At 47.5% G+C, this 24037-nt stretch overlaps 1 protein-coding gene and 1 pseudogene across 13 annotated transcripts in view, besides 5 other annotated features; one reads left to right on the top strand and one right to left on the bottom strand.

Moving 5' to 3' along the window:
• COLEC11 (collectin subfamily member 11) overlaps positions 1-24037 on the bottom strand; it is a 49533-nt gene that overhangs the window by 11046 nt on the left and 14450 nt on the right. For 7 of the 13 annotated variants that reach the window (NR_045659.2, NM_024027.5, NM_001255983.2 and 4 more), the window contains one exon: positions 20217-20288. The exons of 5 other annotated variants lie outside the window; for them this stretch is intronic. Coding sequence is in view for 7 of the 8 variants with exons in the window: in NM_024027.5 (NP_076932.1) it covers positions 20217-20288 (72 nt within the window). In the remaining variant the exon portion in view is untranslated. Of the gene's footprint in view, positions 1-7506; positions 7586-20216; positions 20289-24037 lie in introns of all 13 variants that reach the window. One more of the 13 variants, NM_199235.3, reaches the window with a different exon arrangement.
• Positions 5361-6072: an enhancer, noted in NCBI's record as "H3K4me1 hESC enhancer chr2:3675117-3675828 (GRCh37/hg19 assembly coordinates)". NCBI's record gives its function as "activates a minimal SCP1, AML or CMV promoter by ChIP-STARR-seq in naive H9 embryonic stem cells {active_cell/tissue: H9 hESC(naive)}" and the evidence as "EXISTENCE:reporter gene assay evidence [ECO:0000049][PMID:30033119]".
• Positions 8706-8945: an enhancer, noted in NCBI's record as "active region_15235". NCBI's record gives its function as "activates an Ori minimal core promoter by ATAC-STARR-seq in GM12878 lymphoblastoid cells {active_cell/tissue: GM12878}" and the evidence as "EXISTENCE:reporter gene assay evidence [ECO:0000049][PMID:35858748]".
• Positions 8976-9195: an enhancer, noted in NCBI's record as "active region_15234". NCBI's record gives its function as "activates an Ori minimal core promoter by ATAC-STARR-seq in GM12878 lymphoblastoid cells {active_cell/tissue: GM12878}" and the evidence as "EXISTENCE:reporter gene assay evidence [ECO:0000049][PMID:35858748]".
• Positions 11431-11580: a silencer, noted in NCBI's record as "fragment chr2:3669609-3669758 (GRCh37/hg19 assembly coordinates)". NCBI's record gives its function as "represses an EF-1alpha promoter that drives an FKBP-Casp9 reporter gene in an ReSE screen in HepG2 liver carcinoma cells {active_cell/tissue: HepG2}" and the evidence as "EXISTENCE:reporter gene assay evidence [ECO:0000049][PMID:32094911]".
• On the top strand, positions 15842-16446 carry TMSB4XP2 (TMSB4X pseudogene 2; annotated as a pseudogene).
• Positions 18020-18524: an enhancer, noted in NCBI's record as "NANOG hESC enhancer chr2:3662665-3663169 (GRCh37/hg19 assembly coordinates)". NCBI's record gives its function as "activates a minimal SCP1, AML or CMV promoter by ChIP-STARR-seq in primed H9 embryonic stem cells {active_cell/tissue: H9 hESC(primed)}" and the evidence as "EXISTENCE:reporter gene assay evidence [ECO:0000049][PMID:30033119]".

The raw sequence follows: 24037 nt of genomic DNA, 5'->3' as shown, positions 1-24037 counted from the left end.
GGAGGTCCAGGCTGCCAGATCAGGCTGGACGCGCTCACAGCACCCTCACAATCAGCAAGCAGCCAGCGCAAGGGTTTCTCAGAACCCCCTATGGCAGGGACTGGGTCCCACACTTCTCCAAGGGCAGGAGCTGAGCTCTACTCGCCGGAGACAGGTGCCAAGTGTGAGCGATGACCTTGGATTTGCTTTAACATCTGGCCGTGTGATTCAGAGATGGCTAAAGGCCAAATGCTCTCAACTCACTCTCAGGTTTTAACTTGTCTACAGCAGCAGGCCACGTGCCTCCTCCAACTGATGGACTGAACCACTAATAAGTCTTTCCCGAAGATGGGAGGAGCCTCCCCAAGTGCATCTGTGCCCAGGGGCTTCTCCTCCACTGTCTCCTGGGCCTCACCATCCCGGTCCTGGTCTACTTGTCAGCCTGGGGGCCTGGCCTCGTCCTCCAGGGAGGAGCTGTGTGGGTGGGAAGACGGGAAAGTGGGGCCTGTGGGCCGCTTCTCTCTCCCTGTCACTGTCCTTGAACAGCTTCACATCTCATCTCTCAGGGGTCTCAGGGAGAAACAGCTCCCAGGTGGGGAGGAAGCCCCTCGCGCCCTCCCCATCTTTTCCAGGTGGAAGCTTCTTAGCAAATAGTTGGCTCTTTGTTCAGGTGAAGGGCCACAATCCGCCTCTGACACGTCGCTCCTCAGCCCGTGGTGTTTGTGCTTTTTCATGGGAAGGTGACGTTCCTAGGGCTGGGACTTTGGTTTTCTTTCCCGTGCTCTGACGCTGCCCCTCTCCAAGTGGGGACTCAGTGGGGGTCCCGGGATTCTGCTCATTTTTCCATCTTTCAGAAATAAATTAGAATACTCCCAGGTAGACTGTGTGCCAGGAAACCACATCCACACGTACACGCTGATTTCAGCTTCACAACGTCCCTAGCAGCACCATCTGTTAGGGCTGAATTACATCCTCCAAAATTCTGACGATGGAGCCCTAACCCCAGTGTGAGTCCTACTAGAAGCAGGGTCTTTAAAGAGGTCACACAGGTGGGCCCTGGTCCAACAGGACTGTGGCTTTACCGAAGAGAAAGAGAGGCCGGGATTGTGCATGCATGGAGGAAAGGCCGCGTGAGACGCAGCAGGAAGACACCGCCTGTAAGCCCCGGACAGCAGCCTCAGGAGCAGCAGCCCTGCCGGCACCCGGATCCCTGACTTCCAGCCTCCACAGCCGGGAGGAAATCATCTCTGTCCTGGAAGCTGCCCGCTGTGTGGTATTGAGAGACAGAGACACTGCCCTCTGCTCCAGAAGAGGAGTTCAGAGAGTCAGGTGACCACCACAGGTCATACAGTGAGCCAGGAAAGAACACAGTGCCCCGTGATTCCGAGCACAGCCTCTGCCATCAGACAGGCCTGGCCCCAAATCTCAGTGCTCCACCCATGAAACCCTGCACAAGTTACAGCCCTCTGTAAGCCTCAGTTTCCCTGTCTGTCAAGTGGCACCTCAGGGCATTCCGTGCCTCGGGTCACAGCGAGCATCAGGAGCAGGAGCGCGAGCGCACACTGATGGCGTGGATTTCACTCAGACCAAGGCCTCCTGACTCCACGTCCAGGGCTCCAAACCCTGCACCCCCACTGTGGGTAGGCCCCAGCCTGTGAGACTTCCACCCCGGGTACAGCCAAAGCCACCCTCCACGGGCCAGGAACTGCGGGAAGCCTGCATTTCTAAGAGCCAGGGGCTGGACACATGGCGCAGGATTGTGTTCCTGTGGGAGGACAAGCAGTGCCCTACTCCCAAGCCCAGGAGGCAGGAGACAGAGACCAAGAGACCAGAGTGTGCAAAGCAGCAGGCAGAGCCCTCCGAGCAGAGCCCCCTCCGAGCAGAGTCCCCTCCGAGTAGGGGCCCCCTCCGAGCAGAGCCCCCTCCGAGCAGGGGCCCCTCCGAGCCCTCTCGCCTGTGTCAGCCGTGACCAAGCATACCCGGCTGGTGGGGAGTTAGGGTGGCTACAGGTGGCCCAAACCCTCCCGTCCCTCCTTATTCCCTTCTGCCCTAAACCCATAGCTTGGACCACCAGACCCCTTTCCACGGTCCCCTCAGCCTTGCAGGGAGGCCTTTGGGGGAAGGGCCAAGCACTGGGCACAGCTGGGCCTGGGGGTGGAGAAACACTCCCTCCACCGGATGAGCCAGTGCCAACTTTGTCTAAACACCCTGATAGTAGGCAGATGTTATTGTTCTTTGGCCCTCCACAAAGAGAACAAGCAAAATGCCTTGAGCATCCAAAAAACCTGTTGCCATGACCTTCGCTCTCGGCCAGTCTGCTTTGCTTTACTGTTAAAATTCTTTGAAGAATGCCTAAGCATCTTTTTTTTTAATTTTTTCTTTTTTTTTTGATACAGAGTCTTGCTCTGTCGTGCAGGCTGGAGTGCAGTAGTGCAATCTTGGCTCACTGCAACCTCTGCCTCCCAGGTTCAAGTGATTCTCCTGCCTCAGTCTCCTGAGTAGTTGGGATTACAGGCGTGCACCACCATGTCTGGCTAATTTTTGTATTTTTAGTAGAGATGGGGTTTCACCATGTTAGCCAGGCTGGTCTCGAACTCCTGACCACCCACCTCGGCCTCCCAAAGTGCTGAGATTATGGGCCTGTATTGTATTGCATTTCTTCAAAATTGTAACAGAAGACGAAACGTGGCTTTACCAGTACAATCTTAATGACAAAACAGTCAAAGCAATGGCTACCAAGAGTTGGAAGTGGTCCAGGAAAGCAAAGCAGACTGGCCGAGAGTGAAGGTCACGGCAACAGGCTTTTCGGATGCTCAAGGCATTTTGCTTGTTCTCTTTGTGGAGGACCAAAGAAGAATAACATGTACCTACTATCAGAGGGTTTTGAGAAAGTTGGCCAAAGCCTTAGCAGAAAAATGCCCAGGAAGCTTCACCAGAGCCCTTCTCACCCCAACAATGCTCCTGCTCATTCTCCTTATAAAACAAGGACAATTTTGCAAGAGTTTCTATTGGAAATCATTAAGCATCCAACTTTCCCAGTTTGGCTCTTTCTGACTTCTTGTTTCCTCATCTTAAAAAATCTGTAAAGGGCACTCATTTTTCTTCAGTAAACAATGTAAAAAAGACCACATGGGAATTCCTGGGAATTTCACCATGAGGAACCCTCAGTTCTTTAGGGATGGACTAAATGGCTGGTGTAATTACTTACAAAAGTGTCTTGAACTTCATGGTGCTTATATTGAGAAATAAAGTTTATATTTGTATTTTTATTTTTTAATTCCACTTTTCCACAAACTTTTTGAAGTCCCCTCACACATTATATACAGACATATGCACATATACTATACACACATACATGCATGTACACATACACATACGTACTACCCTGATATGCATACACATACATATGCACACATACATACTATACACATATGCATGCACAGACATCTATATGCATACATACACACATGCACATGCATATACACATAGAGATGTGCATTCACCTCCACATACATACATGTGCATGCAAACATACACATATTAACAGATATGCAATATGCAAACACGTAACATATGCACACATAAAAACACACATACATACACATATGCATGATGCATGCACACATTCATGCATTTATGTATAAATACAACCACACATAGCATGTAACTGCACATCGTATATATGTACATATAAACATGCCCATATACACATACATAAAACTTACAAACCTACATACGTGGATACATGTGTACACAAACATACATACATGAATACAAACATATACATACATATGTAAGAGCACTTGGAATTCAGTTTCCTCAGTGATTTTTAACAGCTGGGCTTTCTCTGGACCCGTGGCCTGGCTTTGTTATCTCAAAACAGGGCATCCAGCAGCACATACATAGACAAAGGCATACTCACATGACATACCCATGCATACTACAGGAGCACACATACACATACATACTATTCACACACACGCTATATGCACATACACACAAATGCTCATATGCACATACACACAGGTACATATACATATGCACACATGCATGCACATATATACATATAGGTATGTATCCATACATACAACTATACATGCACATACATCTATGTGCACGTGTGTGCATGAGTGCATGTACATAAGCCTACTTTTATCCTCACACAGCTCAAGCTTGTACAGTTGGTCAGCACCTAGGCTTAAACTGAGAACCCCAGAAGCACCCAGGAGACCCTCACTACACCCCAACCTCCACATACCAGCCACACACACTGGGACCTATTGGTGTGAGCTGTTGTTTCTGACAGAAATATTCTATTTTGGGGTGTTTGGAGGAAGAAGAAAAGGTGAGAACCGTTGAAATCCACTGAGATTGTCAACACATTCTCTACTTCATACCACAACCTTTTCTGTAGCTGACTTATTTCAACTTGAAGACTTCTCTTGGAAACTAACCCTTGGCCGGACAGTAGTGTGGTTACAGATCCAGAGGTTCTCTAAGGACAGCAGATGAGAACAAGAGCCCTAACGCCTTTTTCCCTCTCCCAAGGCCTCGTGCACCTCCAAGTGACAGAAAGCTTTTTGCAAGAGGCAAGCAACGCCCCCTCCCGCTGGCTGCGTGCGACAACAGGAATGCAGCACCTGATGCCCCTGGATCCCTTCCCTCTCTGCCATAGGAGCTTCTGGCTGTGGCACCCGGCACACTGGGCACGAACGCCACAGCCCATCCCACATCTCATCACCATTGTGAGCAGTGCTGCGCCTCCCATCTGTCCTCTGGACACGCATGAGGATTGAGGGCAGCTCAAAGCAGGTGTGGAGTTCTTATTAATTTTAATGAACACTTCACACAGTCCTCTGAAGTGGAGAAGAGGCAAAAAGAGCATTTGAAATTCAGCTTCCTCGGTGATTTTTAACAGCTGGGCTTTCTCTGGGCCATGGCCTGGCTTTTTATCTCAGAATAGGCCATCCAACCGCACCACCTCCTCGAATGGGGGGTGGGGGGTCTCACTTTCCCAACAGGACACTCCCTCAAAGCCCCAGCGCACACCCAGCCAGCCTGTTCAGGGCAGCCCCCACTGCAGCCAGGTCCCCATGTGCAGAGCATGCACTTTGCGGAAGCAGAGGCATCTGGACCCCCACCAATGGGGACAGCCCAGGCTGGCAGCAGCAGCACCTGGGTGCTGTTAAGACCAGTGCAGGGTCTCAGGCCGCCCTCCTGGGCCAGCAGCTGCATTTAAATGAGAGCCCCTGGAGAAACCTGAAGCAGAGCCCCACCTCCATAGATAGGCAGAGAACACAGCCCCCGCCCAGCATGGCCGGAAGCCTCGTCCCACAGACCAGCTCTCTAGAACCCTGCGGGGCAGCCGCTTCACCTGGGGAAGGGAGGATGACACAGATGGGGGGCCCTTGGCCATAGACTGGGATCACCCACAGATTGCAGAGGTATTTGAAGATATGAAACCTCAGGATATTTTTCCAACAGTGGATGGAGGGCCTTCCAAACGTCAGGTCTCATGCTAGGACCTGAAGACGCAAGGATGAGAGCGGATCTGCAGACCCCAGGCCCACTCATGGCAGCAACGCCCTGTGAAGGCTGTGATTTTGATGTCAGAAGTTGAAAACAATGGTTTGGAGTGGCCACAGGCTGGGCAACAGCAGGGCTGGCATGGGAGCAGGGCTGTCACACCCAGGTCCCGCTCTTCCCAGGGATGCTCCTCCCCTTCAGGAGCCCCTTCAAGAAGCACTGGGACAGGTGCTGAGACCCACTTTGTCATCACGCCCAGTGTTATGCCCAGCATCATCGTGTGCAGCATTGTGCCCAGCATCGTCGTGCCCAGATTCACGCTGTTGTCATGCCCAGCATCGTCATACCTAGATCTACCATCATCATGCCCAGCATCGTCATACCTAGATCCACCGTCATCGTGCCCAGCGTCACTGTGCTCAGCGTCATCGTGCCCAGAGTCATTATGCCCAGATCCACCCCATCATCGTGTCCCATCTTCATGCCCAGCATCGTTGTGCCCAGAGCCATCATGCCCAGATGCAGACCGTCATCATGCCCAGTGTCATGCCCAGCATCATCATGCCCCGATCTACCGTTATTATGCCCAGATCCACCCCATCGTCGTGCTCATCGTGCCCTCCATCATCATGCCCAGTGTCATTGTGCCCAGATCCACCCCATCATGCTCATCGTTGTGCCCATCGTCGTGCCCAGCGTTGTGCCCAGCATCACCATGCCATCATCTTGCCCAGCATCATCATGCCCAGATCCACCCCATCGTCATGCCCCCCGTCATCATGCCCCCCATCATCGTGCCCAGTGTCGTCATGCACAGCATCGTGACCAGCGTCATCATGCCCAGGCGAAGTTGAGTTGCAGCCCCCAGTTTGCCCAGGACTGCAGTGGTTCCCAGGACCCTAGAAACCAGGAAGTCTTGGCCCCCAAGTTCCCGCAGAGGTCACTGTTTTTCTCCAGGTGAGTCTCCACAGCATAATGCCATGGAAGCCACAGATGTTCGTGACCGGTCATCAGGGAACTGCCACTGTGCCCCCGCTGCAACGAGCTAGAAAGCTATCCACTAGCACCCAGCTAGCAAGCCCACGGGCAGAAGAGCCAGTGGGCCAGGGGAGTTGGCAGGGCTGTGTCCCACTGGAAAGTGAGACTCCAGGGAGGGTGTGGAGGGTGGTGGCGGCTGAGGTCCTGGTTCCCAGCCCATCTGCGCCCCCTGGGGCCCGGGCACCGCCTACCACACAGGCAGAGCGCCCAGGGTGTCCTAGGTCTCAGGGAGGAGATTCATCCCAGGTTGTGTATAAAAAGTCCTAAGTTTATTCCATTCTCTCTTTGACCTAATGTCCTTGTAAACATATTCCATTCTCTCTTTGACCTAATGTCCTTGAGAATAAACATTATCCAGAACAGAGCACTTACAGCTGACGGAAACAGCCACGATTATCAGAAAGAATGTCAGTTGGTTATTGCAGAGGCCGGAAGTCATGCTCATTCCCTAGTGAGTTCCCATGAACAAAAGCACCAGGGCTCAGACTTTCTTCTGTGCAAACGGAGAATAATAACAGCAACCACCAGGCCACCAGGCACCAGGCAACTGCCGCATCCAAGACATTGTGCGTCTATCCTTCCATTTAACCCTTCTGGGAGTCATGGGAGGTAGATCCCCACCCCCCACCCCCCATTTTACAGGTACAGAAAAAGGGGGCTTGGGAAGACGAAGCTGATTCCAGAAGCTGACATAACTGACAGGTGGTGGAGCCACGATACAGACAGGCCCAGCGAGCCCAGGACTGTCTGGTTCCACGTCTGTGGTCTCTGCACTGCTCAGCTGAGGCTGGGACCGCATTGTGCCTAACAATATTCCTCCCTCCCAGCAAACCACGTCCATCTAGAAATGGGGCTTCTGCTCCAGTTCTGTCCAAGCCATGTGGCCATGGGAAGAGTGGTTGCCTATTCTCTGCATCTCAGGGTCCAACTTAAGTGTGAAGGTGGGATTTCCAGATCCATTACCCTGTGATCCCATTTCTACAAAGGACGAGGTGCACTTCCTTTTGGAGATGTCAGAAGCTGTCACGACTGGCTGTGACTGCTGGAAAAAGTAAATACAATGTTATGACTATCCCTGCCTGACAACTCAGATAATAGAGATGTTAAATAACTTTGCAAAGTCTGCCAGGTATGGCGGCTCATGCCTATAATCCCGGCACTTTGGGAGGCCAAGGTAGGCGGATCTCTTGAGGTCAGGAGTTCAAGACCAGTGTGGCCAATGTGGTGAAACCCCGTCTCCACTAAAAATACAAAAATTAGCCGGGCGTGGTGGTGGGCGCCTGTAATCCCAGATACTCAGGAGGCTGAGGCAGGAGAATCACTTGAACCCGGGAGGCAGAGGTTGTAGTGAGCCAAGATTATGCCACTGTACTCCAGCCTTGACAACAGAGCGAGAGTGAGACTCTGTCTCAAAAAAAAAAAAAAAAAAAGTAAAAAAGAAGAAAAGAAACTTTCCAAACTCATGGGTCCAAGCTGAGGCACAGAGTAGACCCCTGAGTGCTAAACGCCCCTCCCCTAAGCTGACTCCCTGGGATGCCAAATGCCACATCCCTTTATGGACTCCTAGCCCTCCCTGTCTCCAGATTTCAGAAACCCTGAATTACGAGTAGCCTCCCGAGTGCCTTCCCTAACCCCCGCCCTGGGCTGGGTCCATGGCCCCCCACCCACCACAAGGCAGCCAAGAACGCTGTCTCAGCAGTCGCTGTCCTGCACATCCTGCCTCAGGCTCACCCTCCATCCGTGCCCACCCCTCAGCAGGGACCTGAGGCCTGCTTGAGCATGGAAGCCTGACCTACACCTGAACATCAGTGGGGACAGGCCTCGGAGCCTGAAAAAGCCTGCTGCCACTTCTAAGTGGGAGAAGGAAGGAAGAAAGGAGGGAGGGAGAAGGGAATTCCTCAGAGGTTTTAATAGAGAATCCTTGCCGCCTTGGATCAGCAAACCATTGTGTTTGTGGATCCTTTGATTAAGATTCTTTAAGAGGTAGAAATGAAAAGAGTCTATCAGACTTTAACCCCATATCTCTGGGGTAGTCAATGTATGTTTAATGACCCTCTGTAAATCTATCAATCTAATACTTAGGAATAACTACTATATCAGGGACTTGGAACCACTTACTCGCAGGATGGCAGAGTGTGATCCACAAATCCCTACCCTTGAGGAATGTATAATCTAATTAGGAAGACAAGACATGCACACATGGGTGATGTTAGGAGGATGGCAGAAGAGGAGCTTTCTACCATAGTCCCCCCAAAGAAGCTTCCATGTTGACAACTCCCCATGAACAAAAGTGTCTTTGTAGGAGTCTGGAAGTCCAGTGGAGAAGTTCCAGCACACTGTTAGAGAAAAAAATCCAAGAATAGATGCACTGATGAGGGTAAGAACAGTTTCACTTTACCCGTGTGACCGTTTCCCACAACTGTAAGCTGAGCAACTGTGAGCTGAGCAACACAGCTCAGTGCCCAGGGAAACCCCCTTGGCCCATGTTTTTTCCCACTGGAGTAAGTGAAAGTGTAGTAAGTGAGCTTCCAGCTCCCCCAGCCATGCAGGATGCTGCCCAAAAAAAGTCTGCTTCTTTCTTGTCTCACCTCCAATACTGAGGTGACTGACATGGAGGAGAAGTTGGGAGAGACTGGGAGCTAGGAAGAAAGGCTATGGACCCTAATAATTGCTCTGCAGATTTTATTAGGAAGCCCCCCAACAAGCTGATGGAGACGCCTTTCCTGTGAACCATCCCAACTGGACCACGGGCACCCAAATGCTCACATGCTTCACCCAACACTCTGCCAGCTCCCCAAAGGCACCCCCACAGATGGCAAGTGCCAGCATCTCACACAGACAGATAGCTTGACTGTGTGGGATGGGGAGGGAGAAGGCACAAGAACTTGAGCATTTCAGAGCACTGCCCTAGGGGAAACTAATGAGAGGCTAGTAGCACCTAGACTGCCTTTGTGGGATCAAGAAAAGGCATATACTCTTTAAAAATTCACCCCTCTCCAAGAGAAGCAAAAGGTGTGGAGCAGGTGCATCCACAGAAATGGTCTGAGAGAGCCTCAGAATCCCTAGCCAGGCTGTTTTGTAAAGAAATCTCTCTCCCAAAAAAAGTCCATAAAGACTAGAGGAGGTGACTGCTTTTGCAAATGAGAAAACAGCAATGCAAGACTTCAAGGAATATAAAGTATCAAGGAAACATGACATTACCAAAGGAACACAATAATACTCTAGTAAACCAATCCCAAAGAAATGGAGATCTACAAATTGCCTAACAAAGAACTCAAAATAATCATTTTAAGGAAGCTCAATGAGATACAAGAGAACATAGACACACAACTCAACAAAATCAGAAAAACAATACATTAAAAATGAGGAATTCAATGAAGAGATAGAGATTTTTTTTTAAAAAAAGAACCAAACAGAAACTCTAAAGCTGAAGAACAGAATGAATAAAATTTAAAATACAGCAGACAGCATCAAGAGCAGAATTGATCAAACAAAAGAAAAGAAAGAATATGTGAGCTTGATGACAGGTCATTTAAAAATATTCAATCAGAGAAGAGAAAAGAAAAAAGGCATTAAAAGAAATTAAGAAAGCCTGTGAGATCTAAAGGACACCATCAAGAAAGCTAACATTCACATTATGGAAGTTGTATTAGGAGAATATAGAGAGAAGCTAATAGAAAGCTTATTTAAAGAATTAATGCCTAAAAAACTTTCCAAACTTGGGAGTGATGTGGACATCAAGGTACATGAAGCTTAAAGTCTCCAAATAGGTTCAACCCACAGAAAACTTCACCAAGATACATTATAATCAAACTACCATAAATCAAAGACGAGAAGAGAATTTTGAAAGCAGAAAGAGAAAAGAAACTCATCACATCCAAGAGAACCCTCATAAGGCTATCAGCAGACTTCTCAGCAGAAAACTTGCAGGCCAGGAGAAAGTGGGATCATATATTCAAAGTACTGAAAGAAAAAAACTGGCAATAAGATTATGTACTCACAAAGCCATCCTTCAAAAATAAAGGAAACATTAAGAGTCTCCCAGATACACAAAAGCTAAAGAAGTTCCCACTAGACTTCCCTTACAAGAAATGTAAAGGAAAGTTCTTCAAGCTGAAACAAAAGGATGCTAATTAGTAACATGAAAACATTTAAAAGTGTAGAGATAACTGATAAAACTATATACTTGCCTTAGTCTGTTTTCTGTTGCCATTACTGAATATCTGTGACTGGGTAATTTATAAAGAAAAGAAATTCTTTTTTACAGTTCTAGAGGCTGGGAAATCCAAGGTCAAGAGGCCACATCTGATGAGAACTCTCCACAGAGTCTTGAGGTAGCACAGGGCATCACACAGTAAGGAGGCCCACGAGAGAGGCCACCTGGCTTTTATAATAGTCCCACTCTCATGATAACTAACCCACTCCTGTAATAACCCATTAATCTATTAACTCATAAATGGATCAATCCATTCATAATGTCAGAGAACTCATGATCCAGTCACCTCCTAAAGGCCCACTCTCTCAATACTATTACATTAAAGATCAAGTTTCAACGTGAGTTTTGGAGGGGGCAAACATTCAAATGATAGCAATAGTCAAATTCAGAATACTCTGATGGTGTAATGGTTATGTGTAAATCATATATAACTCTAGTATAAAGGTTAAAAGACAAAGATATTAAAATAACTATAGCCACAATAATTTGTTGTTGTTGTTTGTTTGTTTTTAGAGACAGGGTTTCACTCTCTCACCCAGGCTGGAGTGCAGTGACATCATCATAGCTCACTGCAGCCTCCAGATCCTGGGCTCAAACAATCCTCCTGCCTCAGCCGAGACTACAGGCACATACCACCCAGCTAATATATTTTACTTTTTTTTTTTTTTTTTGAGATGGAGTCTCATTCTGTCGCCCAGGCTGGAGCGCGGTGGCACAATCTCAGCTCACTGCAAGCTCCACCTCCCGGGTTCAAGCGATTCTCCTGCCTCAGCCTCCTGAGTAGCTAGGACTACAGGCGAGCACCCGGCTAATTTTTGTATTTTTAGTAGAGACGAGGTTTCACCATGCTGGCCAGGCTGGTCTTGAACTCCTGACCTCGTGATCCACCCGCCTCAGCCTCCCAAAGTGCCAGGATTACAGGTGTGAGCCACTGCACCTGGCCCAATGATTTGTTAATAGATGTACAATAAAAAAGATGTAAATTGTGATATCAAAAACATAAAATGGGGGGTGGGTGTAAAAGTGTAGAATTTTGTGTGTGATCAAAGTTAAGTTGTTATTAGTTTAGCATAGACTGTTATAACTATAAAATGTTTTATATAAGCCTTGTGGTAACCACAAATAAAAAACCTAGTACATACACAAAAGAAAGAAAAAGGAATCAATGCATACTACTACAGAAAATTATCAAACCACAAAGGAAAACAGCAAGAGAGGAAGAAGGAAACAAAGGATCTACCAAGTGACCAGAAAACAATTAACAAAATGGCAATGGCAAATCCTTAACTATCAATAATTACTTTAAATGTAAATAGATTAAATTATCCAATCAAAAGACACGGAGTAGCTTAATAAAAATAAATAAATAAAAAGAAGACCCAACTATATACACTGCCTACAAAAGACACACTTCAGCTTTAAGATCACACATAGACTAAAAATGAAGGGATGGAAAAAGATATTCCACACAAATTGAAACCAAAACAGAATAGGCGTAGCTATATTTATTTTATATCAGACAAAATAGACTATGTCAAAAACTGTAGCCAAGAGTAAAAAAGGGTTTTTATATAATGATAAAAGGTCAATTCATCAAGAAAACATAATCATTACAAATATACACACATTCAACATTGGAGCACCTAAATATGTAAAGCAAATATTAACAGATCTGAAGGGCAAACAGATAGAATACACTAATAGTAGGGGACTTCAATACCTCACTTTCAACAATGGAAAGATCACCCAGACAGAAAATCAGTAAGAAAACATTGTACATAAACTACACTTTAGACCGAATGGAGCTAACAGAGAACATTCCATCCAACAGCAGCAGAAAACACATTCCTCTCCAGTGCACACGGAACATTCTTTGAGATAGCTCATACGTTAGGCCACAAAACAAGTCTTAACAAATTCAAGGAGACTGAAATCATATCAAGCGTCTCTTCTAACCACAACAGGATAAAACTAGGAATCAGCAAGAGGAGGAAAACGAAAATTCACAAATACGAGAAAATTAAACAACACATTCCTGAACAATCCATGAGTCAAAAAAGAAATCAAAAAATATCTTGAAACAAATGAAAATGAAAACACAACATACAAAAACTTATGGGCTACAGCAAAAAGATATTCTAAGAGGAAATTTTATAACAATAAATACCTACATGGAGGGAAAATAAAGATTACAAATAAACAATCTAACTTTACACCATAAGGGACTAGAAAAAAACAAGCAAATGAAGCCCAAAGTTAGCAGAAGTAAGGAAATAACGAAGATCAGAGCAGAAATAATCAAAGAGAGACTAGAAAAGCTGTAGCAAAGCGACAAAACTAAGAGTTGCTTTTTGAAAAGGCAAAAAAAAAAATTGACGAACCTTTAGCTAGACGAAGAAAAAAGAGGTAACTCAAATAAAATCAGAAATGCAATGGAGAAATTACAACTGATACCACAGAAATATGAAGGGTCATAAGAGAGTAATACGAATAATTATACATCAAAAATTTGAATAACCTAGAAGAAATGGATAAATTCCTAGAAACATACAACCCACAAAGACTGAATAATGAAAAAATACTAAATTTGAACAGATCTGTAATGAGACTGATTCTGTAGTCAAAAATCTCCAATCGAAGAAAGGCCCAGGACCTGGTAGCCTCATGCCAAACTTTACCAAAAATTTAAATAGGAATTAATACCAATCCTTCTAAAATCTTACAAAAAATTGAAGAGGAGAGAATACTTCTGAACTAATTTTTAAAAGCCAGCATTACCCTGATACCAAAGCCAGACAAGAACAATACAAGAAAAAAAGATTACAGGCCAATATCCCTGATGAACACAGATGCAAAAATCTTCAACACAATGCTAGCAAACCAAATTTAACAGCACATTAAAAAGATTATACACGGCCGGGAGCGGTGGCTCATGCTTGTAATCCCAGCACTTTGGGAGGCCAAGGCAGGTGGATCACCTGAGGTCAGGATTTCAAGACCAGCCTGGCCAACATGGTGAAACCTCATCTCTACTAAAAATACAAAAATTTGCTGAGCGTGGTGGTGCGTGCCTGTAATCCCAGCTACTTGGGCGGCTGAGGCAGGAGAATCGGTTGAACTCAGGAGGCGGAGGTTGCAGTGAGCCGAGATCATGCCATTGCACTCCAGCCTGGGCAACAGAGCAAGACTCCGTCTCAAAAACAAAAGTATTATACACCATGATCAAGCAAAATTTATGCCTGGGATGGTTCAACATACAGAAATCAATAAATGTGATATGCCACATTAACAGAATGAAGAATAAACATCATATTATCATCAGTAGATGCTGAAAGAACGTTTGACAAAACTCAGTGTTGTTTCATGATAAAAGCTCTCAAGAAAGCACATATACAAAGAATGCACCTCAACACAATAAAGGCCATGTATGAGAAGTCCACAGCTAACATCATACTCACTGGTGAAAAGCTGAAAGCTTTACTCTAAAATCAGAAACAAGGCAAGGATGCCCATTCTCGCCTCTTGTATTCAATATAGTGCTGGAAGTCCTAGCCAGAACAATTAGGCAAGAAAGAAAAAAGGAAAGTGGAAAGGAGAGAAAAGGAAAGGGGAAAGGAAAGAAAAGGAAAGAGAGAAAGAAAGGAAGAGAAAGGGAGAGGGAGGGAGGGAGGCGGGAAAGAAGGAGGGAGGGATCCATCCAAATTGGAAAGGGAGAGGTAAAGCTGGCTCTGTTTGCAGATGGCATAATCTTATATAAATAAAACCCTAAAGACTCCACTAAAAACTGGTTAGCACTAATAAACAAATTCAGTAAAGTTGCAGGATACAAAATCAACACACGAAAATCAGCAGCATTTCTATACACTAACAATGAGCCACCTGAAAAAAATTAAGGAAACAATCTCCTTGACTGTAGCACCAAACAGAATGACATATTTAGGAATAAATTTAACCAAGGAAGTGTTGTGTACCTGTACACTGAGAACTATGAAACATTGAAGACACAAATAAATGGAAAAAATATCTGTTCGTGGATCAAAAGAATTAATATTTCAAAATGTCCATACTACCCAATGCAATCTACAGATTCAGTGCAATCTCTATCAAAATTCCAAAGGCACTTTTCAGAGAAATGGAAAAAAAAATCCTAAAATTCATGTAAAACCATAAAAGGTCATGTATAGCCAAAGCAGCCTTAAGCAAGAAAAACAAAGCTGAAGGCATCACACTTCCTGATTTCAAATTATATTACAGATAGATGGTAATCAAACCAGTATACTTGCTCAAACAAGCACTGGCATAAAAACAGACACATAGACAATAGAGCAGAGAAGAAAGCACAGAAATAAGCCCATGAGTGCATATACAGTCAACTAACCTTCAACAAAGGCACAAAGAATTCACAATGCTATTGGGAAAACTGAATATTCACATGCAAAAAAACAAAACTGAATCCTTGTCTTATACCATACATAAAAATCAGCTCAAAATAGAAGACTTAAATGTAATACCTGAAATCACAGAACTCCTAAAAGAAAATGTAAGGGAAAAGTTCCTTGACATTGGTCTTGGCAATGATTTTTTGGGATATGACCCCAAAAGCACATGCAACAAAAGCAAAAATAAATAAGTGGTACTAACCTATCCAACTAACAAGTTTCTGCATAGCAAAGAAAGCAATCAACAAAACAGAAAGGTACCTATGGAATGGAAGACAGTATTTGCAAACCATATATCTGATAAGAGGTTAATATCCAAAATATGTAAGGAATTCATACAACTCAATAGCCGAAAAACAAATAACCCAATTTAAAAATGGGCAAAGAATCTGAATAGATATTTTTCTAAGAAGACATACAAATGTCCAACAGGTTTATGGAAAGGTGGTCAACATCATCAATTATCAAGAAAATAGAAACTAAAGCCACAATGAGACATTACCTCACACCTGTTAGGATGGCTGGTATCAAAAAGTCAAAAGAGATTAAGCATTGGAGAAGATGTGGAGAAAGGCGAGCCCTTAGACATTGCTGGTGGGAATGGAAAACAGTACAGAGGCTCCTTGAAAAAATCAAAAGCGACAACTCAGTGGTGGCCACTGCGCAGACCAGACTTCTCTCGTTCTCGCACGCCTCGCTCCGCTTTTCCTCCACAACCATGTCTGACAAACCCGATATGGCTGAGATCGAGAAATTCGATAAGTCGAAACTGAAGAAGACAGAGACTCAAGAGAAAAATCCACTGCCTTCCAAAGAAACGACTGAACAGGAGAAGCAAGCAGGCAAATCGTAGTGAGGCGTGCGCCGCCAATATGCACTGTATATTCCACAAGCATTGCCTTCTTATTTTACTTCTTTTAGCTGTTTAGCTTTGTAAGATGCAAAGAGATTGGATCAAGTTTAAATGACTGTGCTGCCCCTTTCACATCAAAGAACTACGGACAACGAAGGCCGCGCCTGTCTCTCCCATCTGTCTGGCTGGCTGGCAGGGAAGGAAAGAACTTGCATGTTGGTGAAGGAAGAGGTGGGGTGGGATGACAGTGAAATCTAGAATAAAACCAAGCTGGCCCAAGGTGTCCTGCAGGCTGTAATGCAGTTTAATCAGAGAGCCATTTTTTTCTTTTTGTCAAATGATTTTAATTATTGGAATGCACAATTTTTTAAATATGCAAATAAAAAGTTTAAAAACTTAAAAAAAAAAAAGAAAAGAAAAAATCAAAAGCAGAACTACCACATGATCCAACAATGTCACTACTGGGTCCATAGCCAAAGGAATGAAATCGGATCTTGAAGAGATCCCTACAGTTTCATGCTGACTGCAGCATTATTCACAACAGCCATCACATAAAAACAACCTACGCGTCTGTTGACCAATCAGTGGATAAAGAAAACATGGCACATATATAACGGAATATTATTCAGTCTTGAAATATAAGAAAATCCCAGCATTTGTGACCTGGATGAACCTGGAGGGCATTACGCTAAGTGAAATAAGAATGTTCCAGTCCTCTCCCTCTCCCCACAGTCTCCCTCTCCCTCTCCCCACGGTCTCCCTCTCCCTCTCCCCACGGTCTCCCTCTCCCTCTCTTTCCACGATCTCCCTCTTGATGCTGAGCCGAAGCTGGACTGTACTGCTGCCATCTCGGCTCACTGCAACCTCCCTGCCTGGTTCTCCTGCCTCAGCCTGCAGAGTGCCTGGGATTGCAGGCGTGCGCCGCCATGCCTGACTGGTTTTCGTATTTTTTTGGTGGAGACGGGGTTTCGCTGTGTTGGCCGGGCTGGTCTCCAGCTCCTAACCGGGAGTGATCTGCCAGCCTCGGCCTCCCGAGGTGCCCGGATTGCAGACGGAGTCTCGTTCACTCAGTGCTCAATGTTGCCCAGGCTGGAGTGCAGTGGCGTGATCTCGGCTTGCTACAACCTCCACCTCCCAGCCGCCTGCCTTGGCCTCCCAAAGTGCCGAGATTGCAGCCTCTGCCCGGCCGCCACCCCGTCTGGGAAGTGAGGAGTGTCTCTGCCTGGCCGCCCATAGTCTCGGATGTGAGGAGCCCCTCTGCCCGGCTGCCCAGTCTGGGAAGTGAGGAGCGCCTCTTCCCGGCCGCCATCCTGTCTGGGAAGTGAGGAGCGTCTCTGCCCGGCCGCCCATCGTCTGAGATGTGGGGAGCGCCTCTGCCCCGCCGCCCTGTCTGGGATGTGAGGAGCGCCTCTGCCCAGCCACGACCCCGTGTGGTATCTGAGGAGTGTCTCTGCCCGACCGCCACCCCGTCTGGGAGGTGAGGAGCGTCTCTGCCCGGCCGCCCCGCCTCAGAGGTGAGGAGCCCCTCCGCCGGGCAGCCGCCCCGTCTGAGAAGTGAGGAGCCCCTCCACCCAGCAGCCGCCCCGTCTGGGAAGTGAGGAGCATCTCCACCCGGCAGCCCCCCCGTCCGGGAGGGAGGTGGGGGGCAGCCCCCGCCCGGCCAGCCGCCGCGTCCGGGAGGGAGGTGGGGGGCAGCCCCTGCCCGGCCAGCCGCCGCGTCCGGGAGGGAGGTGGGGGGCAGCCCCTGCCTGGCCAGCCGCCCCATCTGGGAGGTGGGGGGAGCCTCTGCCCGGCCACCGCCCTGTCCGCGAGGTGGGGGGCGCCTCTGCCCAGCCGCCCCCTTCTGGGAAGTGAGGAGCCCCTCTGCCCGGCCGCCACCCCGTCTGGGAGGTGTACCCCACAGCTCATTGAGAATGGGCCATGATGACGATGGCGGTTTTGTCAAATAGAAAAGGGGGAAATGTGGGGAAAGGATAGAGAAATCAGATTCTTGCTGTGTCTGTGTAGAAAGAAGTAGACATGGGAGACTCCATTTTGTTCTGTACTAAGAAAAATTCTTCTGCCTTGGGATGCTGTTAATCTTTGACCTTACCCCCAACCCCCTGCTCTCTGAAACATGTGCTGTGTCCACTCAGGGTTAAATGGATTAAGGGCGGTGCAAGATGTGCTTTGTTAAACAGATGCTTGAAGGCAGCATGCTCGTTAAGAGTCATCACCACTCCCTAATCTCAAGTACCCAGGGACACAAACACTGCGGATGGCCGCAGGGTCCTCTGCCTAGGAAAACCAGAGACCCTTGTTCACTTGTTTGTCTGCTGACCTTCCCTCCACTGTTGTCCTATGACCCTGCCAAATCCCCCTCTGCGAGAAATACCCAAGAGTGATCAATAAATACTAAAAATAAATAAATAAATAAATAAAATCCCTTTAAAAAAAAAAGAAAGAAAATATTTCTCAGTGGATTCCTGAGAAAGGGTGCATATGAGGTACATTGTTGTGAACTGAAATACATGAAAATATTTTATTCTGCTCTCAGCCTTGATGGATAGTTTAGCTGGGTGTAGAATTCTTGAATGGAAATAAGTTTCCCTCAGGATTTTAAAGGTACTGTTCTTTCTTCAACTGCTAATATTGGGAAGACTGATGTTATTCGGATTCCTAATTCTTTGTATGTGATATTTAGTGTCTGGAAAATTTTGGATTTTGTTTTTATCTTTGTGTTCTGAAATTTCAAAGTCAGTTGTCTTGGTATGAAACTTTTTTTCGTTTACTTTGCCAGGTTTCTGGTAGTTCTGTTCAATCTAGATACTCATGTCCTTTCATTATAAGAAATTTTCTTCTACAACTTGTGCAACTTTAGGAGTTTTACTCTGAGCACCCTTATTGGTCATCCTGTCCTTCTGTATTGCCTATAAAAAATATCTGTGTTGAAGATTTTTTAAAGCTTTACTTAGAATTGTTCCTCTCTAAACTTAATAAATGGAAAGCTGATTTAAAAAAAAGAAAAAAAAAGAATGTTCCAGCTCTTGCTTAGGATGAGGGGTACGGGCGAGGGCAATGGTCAAAACTGATTGCACGGTAATCTCAAAATGAGAATGACCATAAATTATACCTCAAAAACGTTTCAAAAAACAGCGTATGGGCTTAAATATATATTTAATTATCTTTGTGTTGTTATAATAATTTTTTTTAATTGGAAACAACTTAACTCTCCAATGTTAAAAGATTGGTTGGGGGGTTGGCTAACTGTAGTATATGTTCTCATAGAATGATGTGTACATACTGAGAAAGCATTTCTAGAGACAATCTTTAATGACTTGGAAAAAATGTATTACTTGAGGCCAGGAGTTCGAGACCAGCCTGGCCAACATGGTGAAACCTAGTCTCTACTAAAAATACCCCCCAAAAAAAAATTAGCTGGGTGTGATAGCACATGCCAGCTACTCAACAGGTTGAGGCAGGAGAATAGCTTGAACCTGGGAGGAGAAGGTTACAGTGAGCCAAGACTGTGCCACTGCACTCCAGCCTGGGCAACAGAGCAAGACTCAGTCTCAAAAAAAAAAAAAAGAAAGAAAGAAAGAAAAAGAAAAAACACTTAAAAAAATTTTAAGCAGTAACAAGGAGTATATAAAGATAATAGCCACCATATATTTAACCCCTGCCATGCACTGTGCAGCTACTTTACACATGATACATTTCCTTTACACGTATGATCTAGCTCCCATGAGCCTCGGCACAGTCCCACGAGGCAGGCAGAATCACACGACTTTACGAAGGAGGAGACAGACGCAAAGTGATGAGGGTCCTATCTGTGTACTCTGCCACGCCGCCTTCATAACGACACTGATTCACTTAGCGCTCACAAATGATCTGGAAGCTGTTATTCCCGTCTTACAGATGAGGCTTAAAGGGGCCAGGAGCCTCTGCTGAGTTCCAGGACACACTTTCTTTCCTAGAGCCCCACAGGTCAGCACAAGGAGCAGTGCTGAAGGACCACTCTCCCCTCCCTGCTCCCGACCCAAGTCCCATGCCGTCTGCCTCCCTGGGACCCAGAGGGCAGGGCCTGTCCTCTCTGGAACCACCACCCCCACCTCCCCACCCGGCTCTAGCAGGAGCGGTGCCTCCATCCTCAGAGCTCTGAGGGCCGGCCCAGGGCTGCAGGTACCTTTTTCTCCCGTGGGGCCGACTCTTCCAGGCCGTCCGGGGGCGCCTTTGTCTCCCTTCTCTCCCGCATCCCCTGTGGAAGAAGTCACATCCATTTAGCAGCTCGTCTGGCCAGCACAGCGTCTCAGAGTGATTTGTGGAGGAAGAACAGTTAGAAGCGTTCTCCCCGGGTCCCTGCAGGTGGCCAAGCCCCTTCTCTCCCTACCTCCCTCCCCGCCTGCAGCCCAGCCGCTACTCTGGGTGCCCCTGATTCTGCTTTTAGGGCTATTTGTCTCCCTGCCCTACCTTCTCTCTTAGAAAGGGCCTGTGTTTCTCTCACCAGTTACCCCTCTTGGCGGGCTCCTAGTCTGTCCCTGGGTGCACAGTGCCGCGTCTAAACGCCGGCTCTCCCCAACCCTAACACCAATGAGAAGGGCGGCAGCGTCTCCAGGCGCCCCCATGGGAAGCGTCACCCCGACCTCTCCCTGAGCTTCATCTGCTTGGTACTCAGGGAAGGATGAACTATGTCAGCATCCCACTGGCCCCATCAGTGTGAGCCCCCCAGGGCACAGGCTCCTGCTCAGCCAGGGCCTCCACCACGGGGGCTGCCTGTGACCAGGTGGGCACGTCCACCCACTTCCAAGGCTCAGCAGGTGCAGGAGACAGAGGGTGAATCACTGGTGGAGACACCCTACAAGGCACAGTTCAGAGATGTGCGCAGTGAGGCCAGGGGCCTCAGGAAGGCCTGTGGACACCAACACCTCCACTCCAGTCTTCTCCCCCCACTCTAATCCACACCAAAATGACTGTCCTGAAACAAATGGAATTCTATTATGTCTCTAGATTCAGCTATAAATGACGTGCAGTACTTGAGCCTCTCCTCAGTGTGGTCTCTACATCGGACCCCGGTCTTTCCCTACTCTGTGCCCTCTGCCCAGCCTGCCTGGTCAGCCGGCTCCTGTCCAGGGTCCGCCTTCTCACCTGGTTCTCCGGGAGGCTCTTCCGGATTCTCTCAACAGGGCCACTCTGCTGGCTGGGACTCGGCTCTGTAGTCATTTTTATAAGGCCGTATTTCTTACCTGTTGCACTATCCCTCCTCTGAATGGTTGCAGACAGGGAGTGTGTGTGCATGTGTGTGCATGTGTGCATGCGTGTGCGTGGGTGCGTGGGTGCATGTGTGTGCGTGTGTCCGCATGTGCATAGGTGTGCACGTGTATGTGTGCGCGTGTGTGCGCTGATATGCTACAAGTTCACCTTCCCTCTCTGCACAATTGTGCCAGCGTTCACGTAAACTTTACTTCTCTATAACTCTCCATTTGCACCTTTGTGGGCAGCCAGCCATCCAGGTGCCGAGGCAAGAGACCGAGGGCACGAGCTGTTCCAGTATGATAAAATATACAAAACAACCCTATATATAGAGAGAGCATATAGAGTATAACTCTTGTTGTTTTATATATTTTATCATACTGGACCAGCTCGTGCCCTCGGTCTCTTGCCTCGGCACCTGGACGGCTTGCCGCCCACACACGTTGTGGCCCACACACCTTGTCTTGGAGAGAGGCTCAGTTGAGATTACAGATCCCTCCACAAAATCCCCAAAGCTGATTATCTGGCCTCACGGAGGGGACTTTCCATTTAAATCCAAGTAACAAAGAGAAAAGCACAGCGATGGTGGCAGGCCCATCCCCACATCACCCCCGTGCCACAGCCCCAGCCCCGCAGGGCCACCTACTGAAAAGCCTGTGGGCTGCCCCTGGGCTGACCCACGATCAACACCCACATGCTGCTCTGAGGCTCCAAGTAGTTCTCAAGTTTGCTTTCTTATCTTGTAAGAAGAAAAGAGAAGTATTGACAGTTTAGCAAGAAATATCCACTAACAAGATAAACTCAGCATTAAGAATCCCCAGAGGTTTCAGGGGCACCAGCATCGTGCAGAAGAAAGAACAGAGAAGACGGAACAGTGGAGCAGCCGGACGCTGACTGTGCAATCGGTGAATGGAGGTCCTCATAACATGGGAGAGGCCAGTCCGGGAACAACAGCACACTGCAGCGGAAAGAGCCGAGCAGAGACGCTGTGCGGGAGCCACTCCGCAGAAAGGCGAGTCCCCGGTGACCCAGGATGAAGAGGCCTCGTGGAGCCAGCGGTGAGGAGGAAGCATTGTTCACAGGGCAGCACTAATAAGAAATGCAGGCTTTGTTTGTTTGTTTTGAAGTTACGAAGTTGAGAGTTGAAGGAAAAACTCACAAATGCCAATGTCGCTCTGACAGCAATTCCGGAAAGAGAGGAACAAAGCCTTCGTGGCTGCGAAGATTTAGTAGCTGCGATTTCCCAGTGCTAAGGAAAGCCATGAAAGAACTCTGTGAAAGGGCCTGCGGAGAACCACACGGGGAAAATCAGAGAAAAGTAACTCAGACATGTCAGAGCAACATCACAGAACACCAAGAATAAAGAGAAAATGCTGTCAGCTACCCAGGAGGGAAAAACAGGTTTAAAGACTGCATACCTGTGAATGAGAATCAGATGGACATAAGAATTCTCATTAGCAACACCGGACGCAAGAATAAAATGAGGCAATAACCTCAACAAAGGAGCCATAATTTAGACGGCAAGATCCGAAAAGCCCCTCTGAGGGGTGGTTCTCAGGCTAAGCTGCTGAGCAGGGGTAGCCAGGCACAGAGTAAGAAGTGTTCTGAGGACAGGGTCAGCAGGTGCACAGACAAGGGGGAAGGGCTGGAGGGGATGACGGGAAGCCAGGTGGTTGGGCAGAGCGAGCCACGAGCCCGAGGCAGTAGGCAGCCCAGGGACTTCATGCCTGGAGCTCATGGGGATAACCTGACCACCCATGCCACGGTCCAGGCCAATAGTGATTGTGGCTGAGATGAGGGCGGAAGAATGTTTCCTTCATAAAGCATTTCACACCGCCTACATGACAGCAGTCTGCTCTTTCTCCCACTGGCTGAAAACTCTGAGAAGACACAGCTCCATCTCACCCAACCCTCGGTCCCCCAGAGCACCAGGAAGAAGGCGGGTGCTCCATCAGTACTCGTAAAGAATTAACACTAAGCAGGTCTGCCAGCTCTTCTCATACTGCTTAAGAAAGCTCCTGGAGTTTGTACACGGCATTCACTTATTTGCATAATAATTTCACCTCTCCCCCTACATGGGGCGGGCACTATGTCCACTCTAGAGGTGAAGACACAGCTACGAGAATCAAGTGACATGTCCAAGCTGGGATGTGCTGGCACGCCAGTGTGTCTTTACCACACCTTGCTCAGGCTTCAAAACCCCAGAGCGAGACTCACTAACCAGCATGACTACTCACCCTCGTCTCCTCTCCTCCTAAAGATAAAGCAGTAAGGACAAGTTTGTCATGATAGCTTCTGACCAACCTCCACCTGCATCCATCTGCCTGTCTCTAATCTGATTTTTAAAAACTGGTTGGCCAGGTGCAGTGGCTCATGCCTGTGATCCTGGCACTTTGGGAGGCCAAGGCAGGAGGATCATTTAAAGGCAGGAGTTTGAGACCAGCCTGGGCAACACAGCAAGACCCCATCTCTACAAAAAAATTAGCAGGGGTTGGGCATGGTGGCTCACACCTGTAATCCCAGCATTTTGGGAGCCCAAGGCGGGTGGATCACCTGAGGTCAAGAGTTTGAGACCAGCCTGGTCAACATGGTGAAACCCCGTCTCTACTAAAAATACAAAAATTAGCCAGGCGTGGTAGCGGGTGCCTATAATCTCAGCTACTCTGGAGGCTGAGGCAGGAGAATCGCTTGAACCCAGGAGGCAGAGGTTGCAGTGAGCCAAGATCACGCTATTGCACTGCAGCCTGGGCAACAAGA

This window comes from Homo sapiens, chromosome 2, assembly GCF_000001405.40.
Source record: "Homo sapiens chromosome 2, GRCh38.p14 Primary Assembly".
NCBI classification, from domain to species: domain Eukaryota; kingdom Metazoa; phylum Chordata; class Mammalia; order Primates; family Hominidae; genus Homo; species Homo sapiens.
Note: the sequence above shows the minus strand (reverse complement) of the source record. Positions and strands in the feature narration are given on the sequence as shown.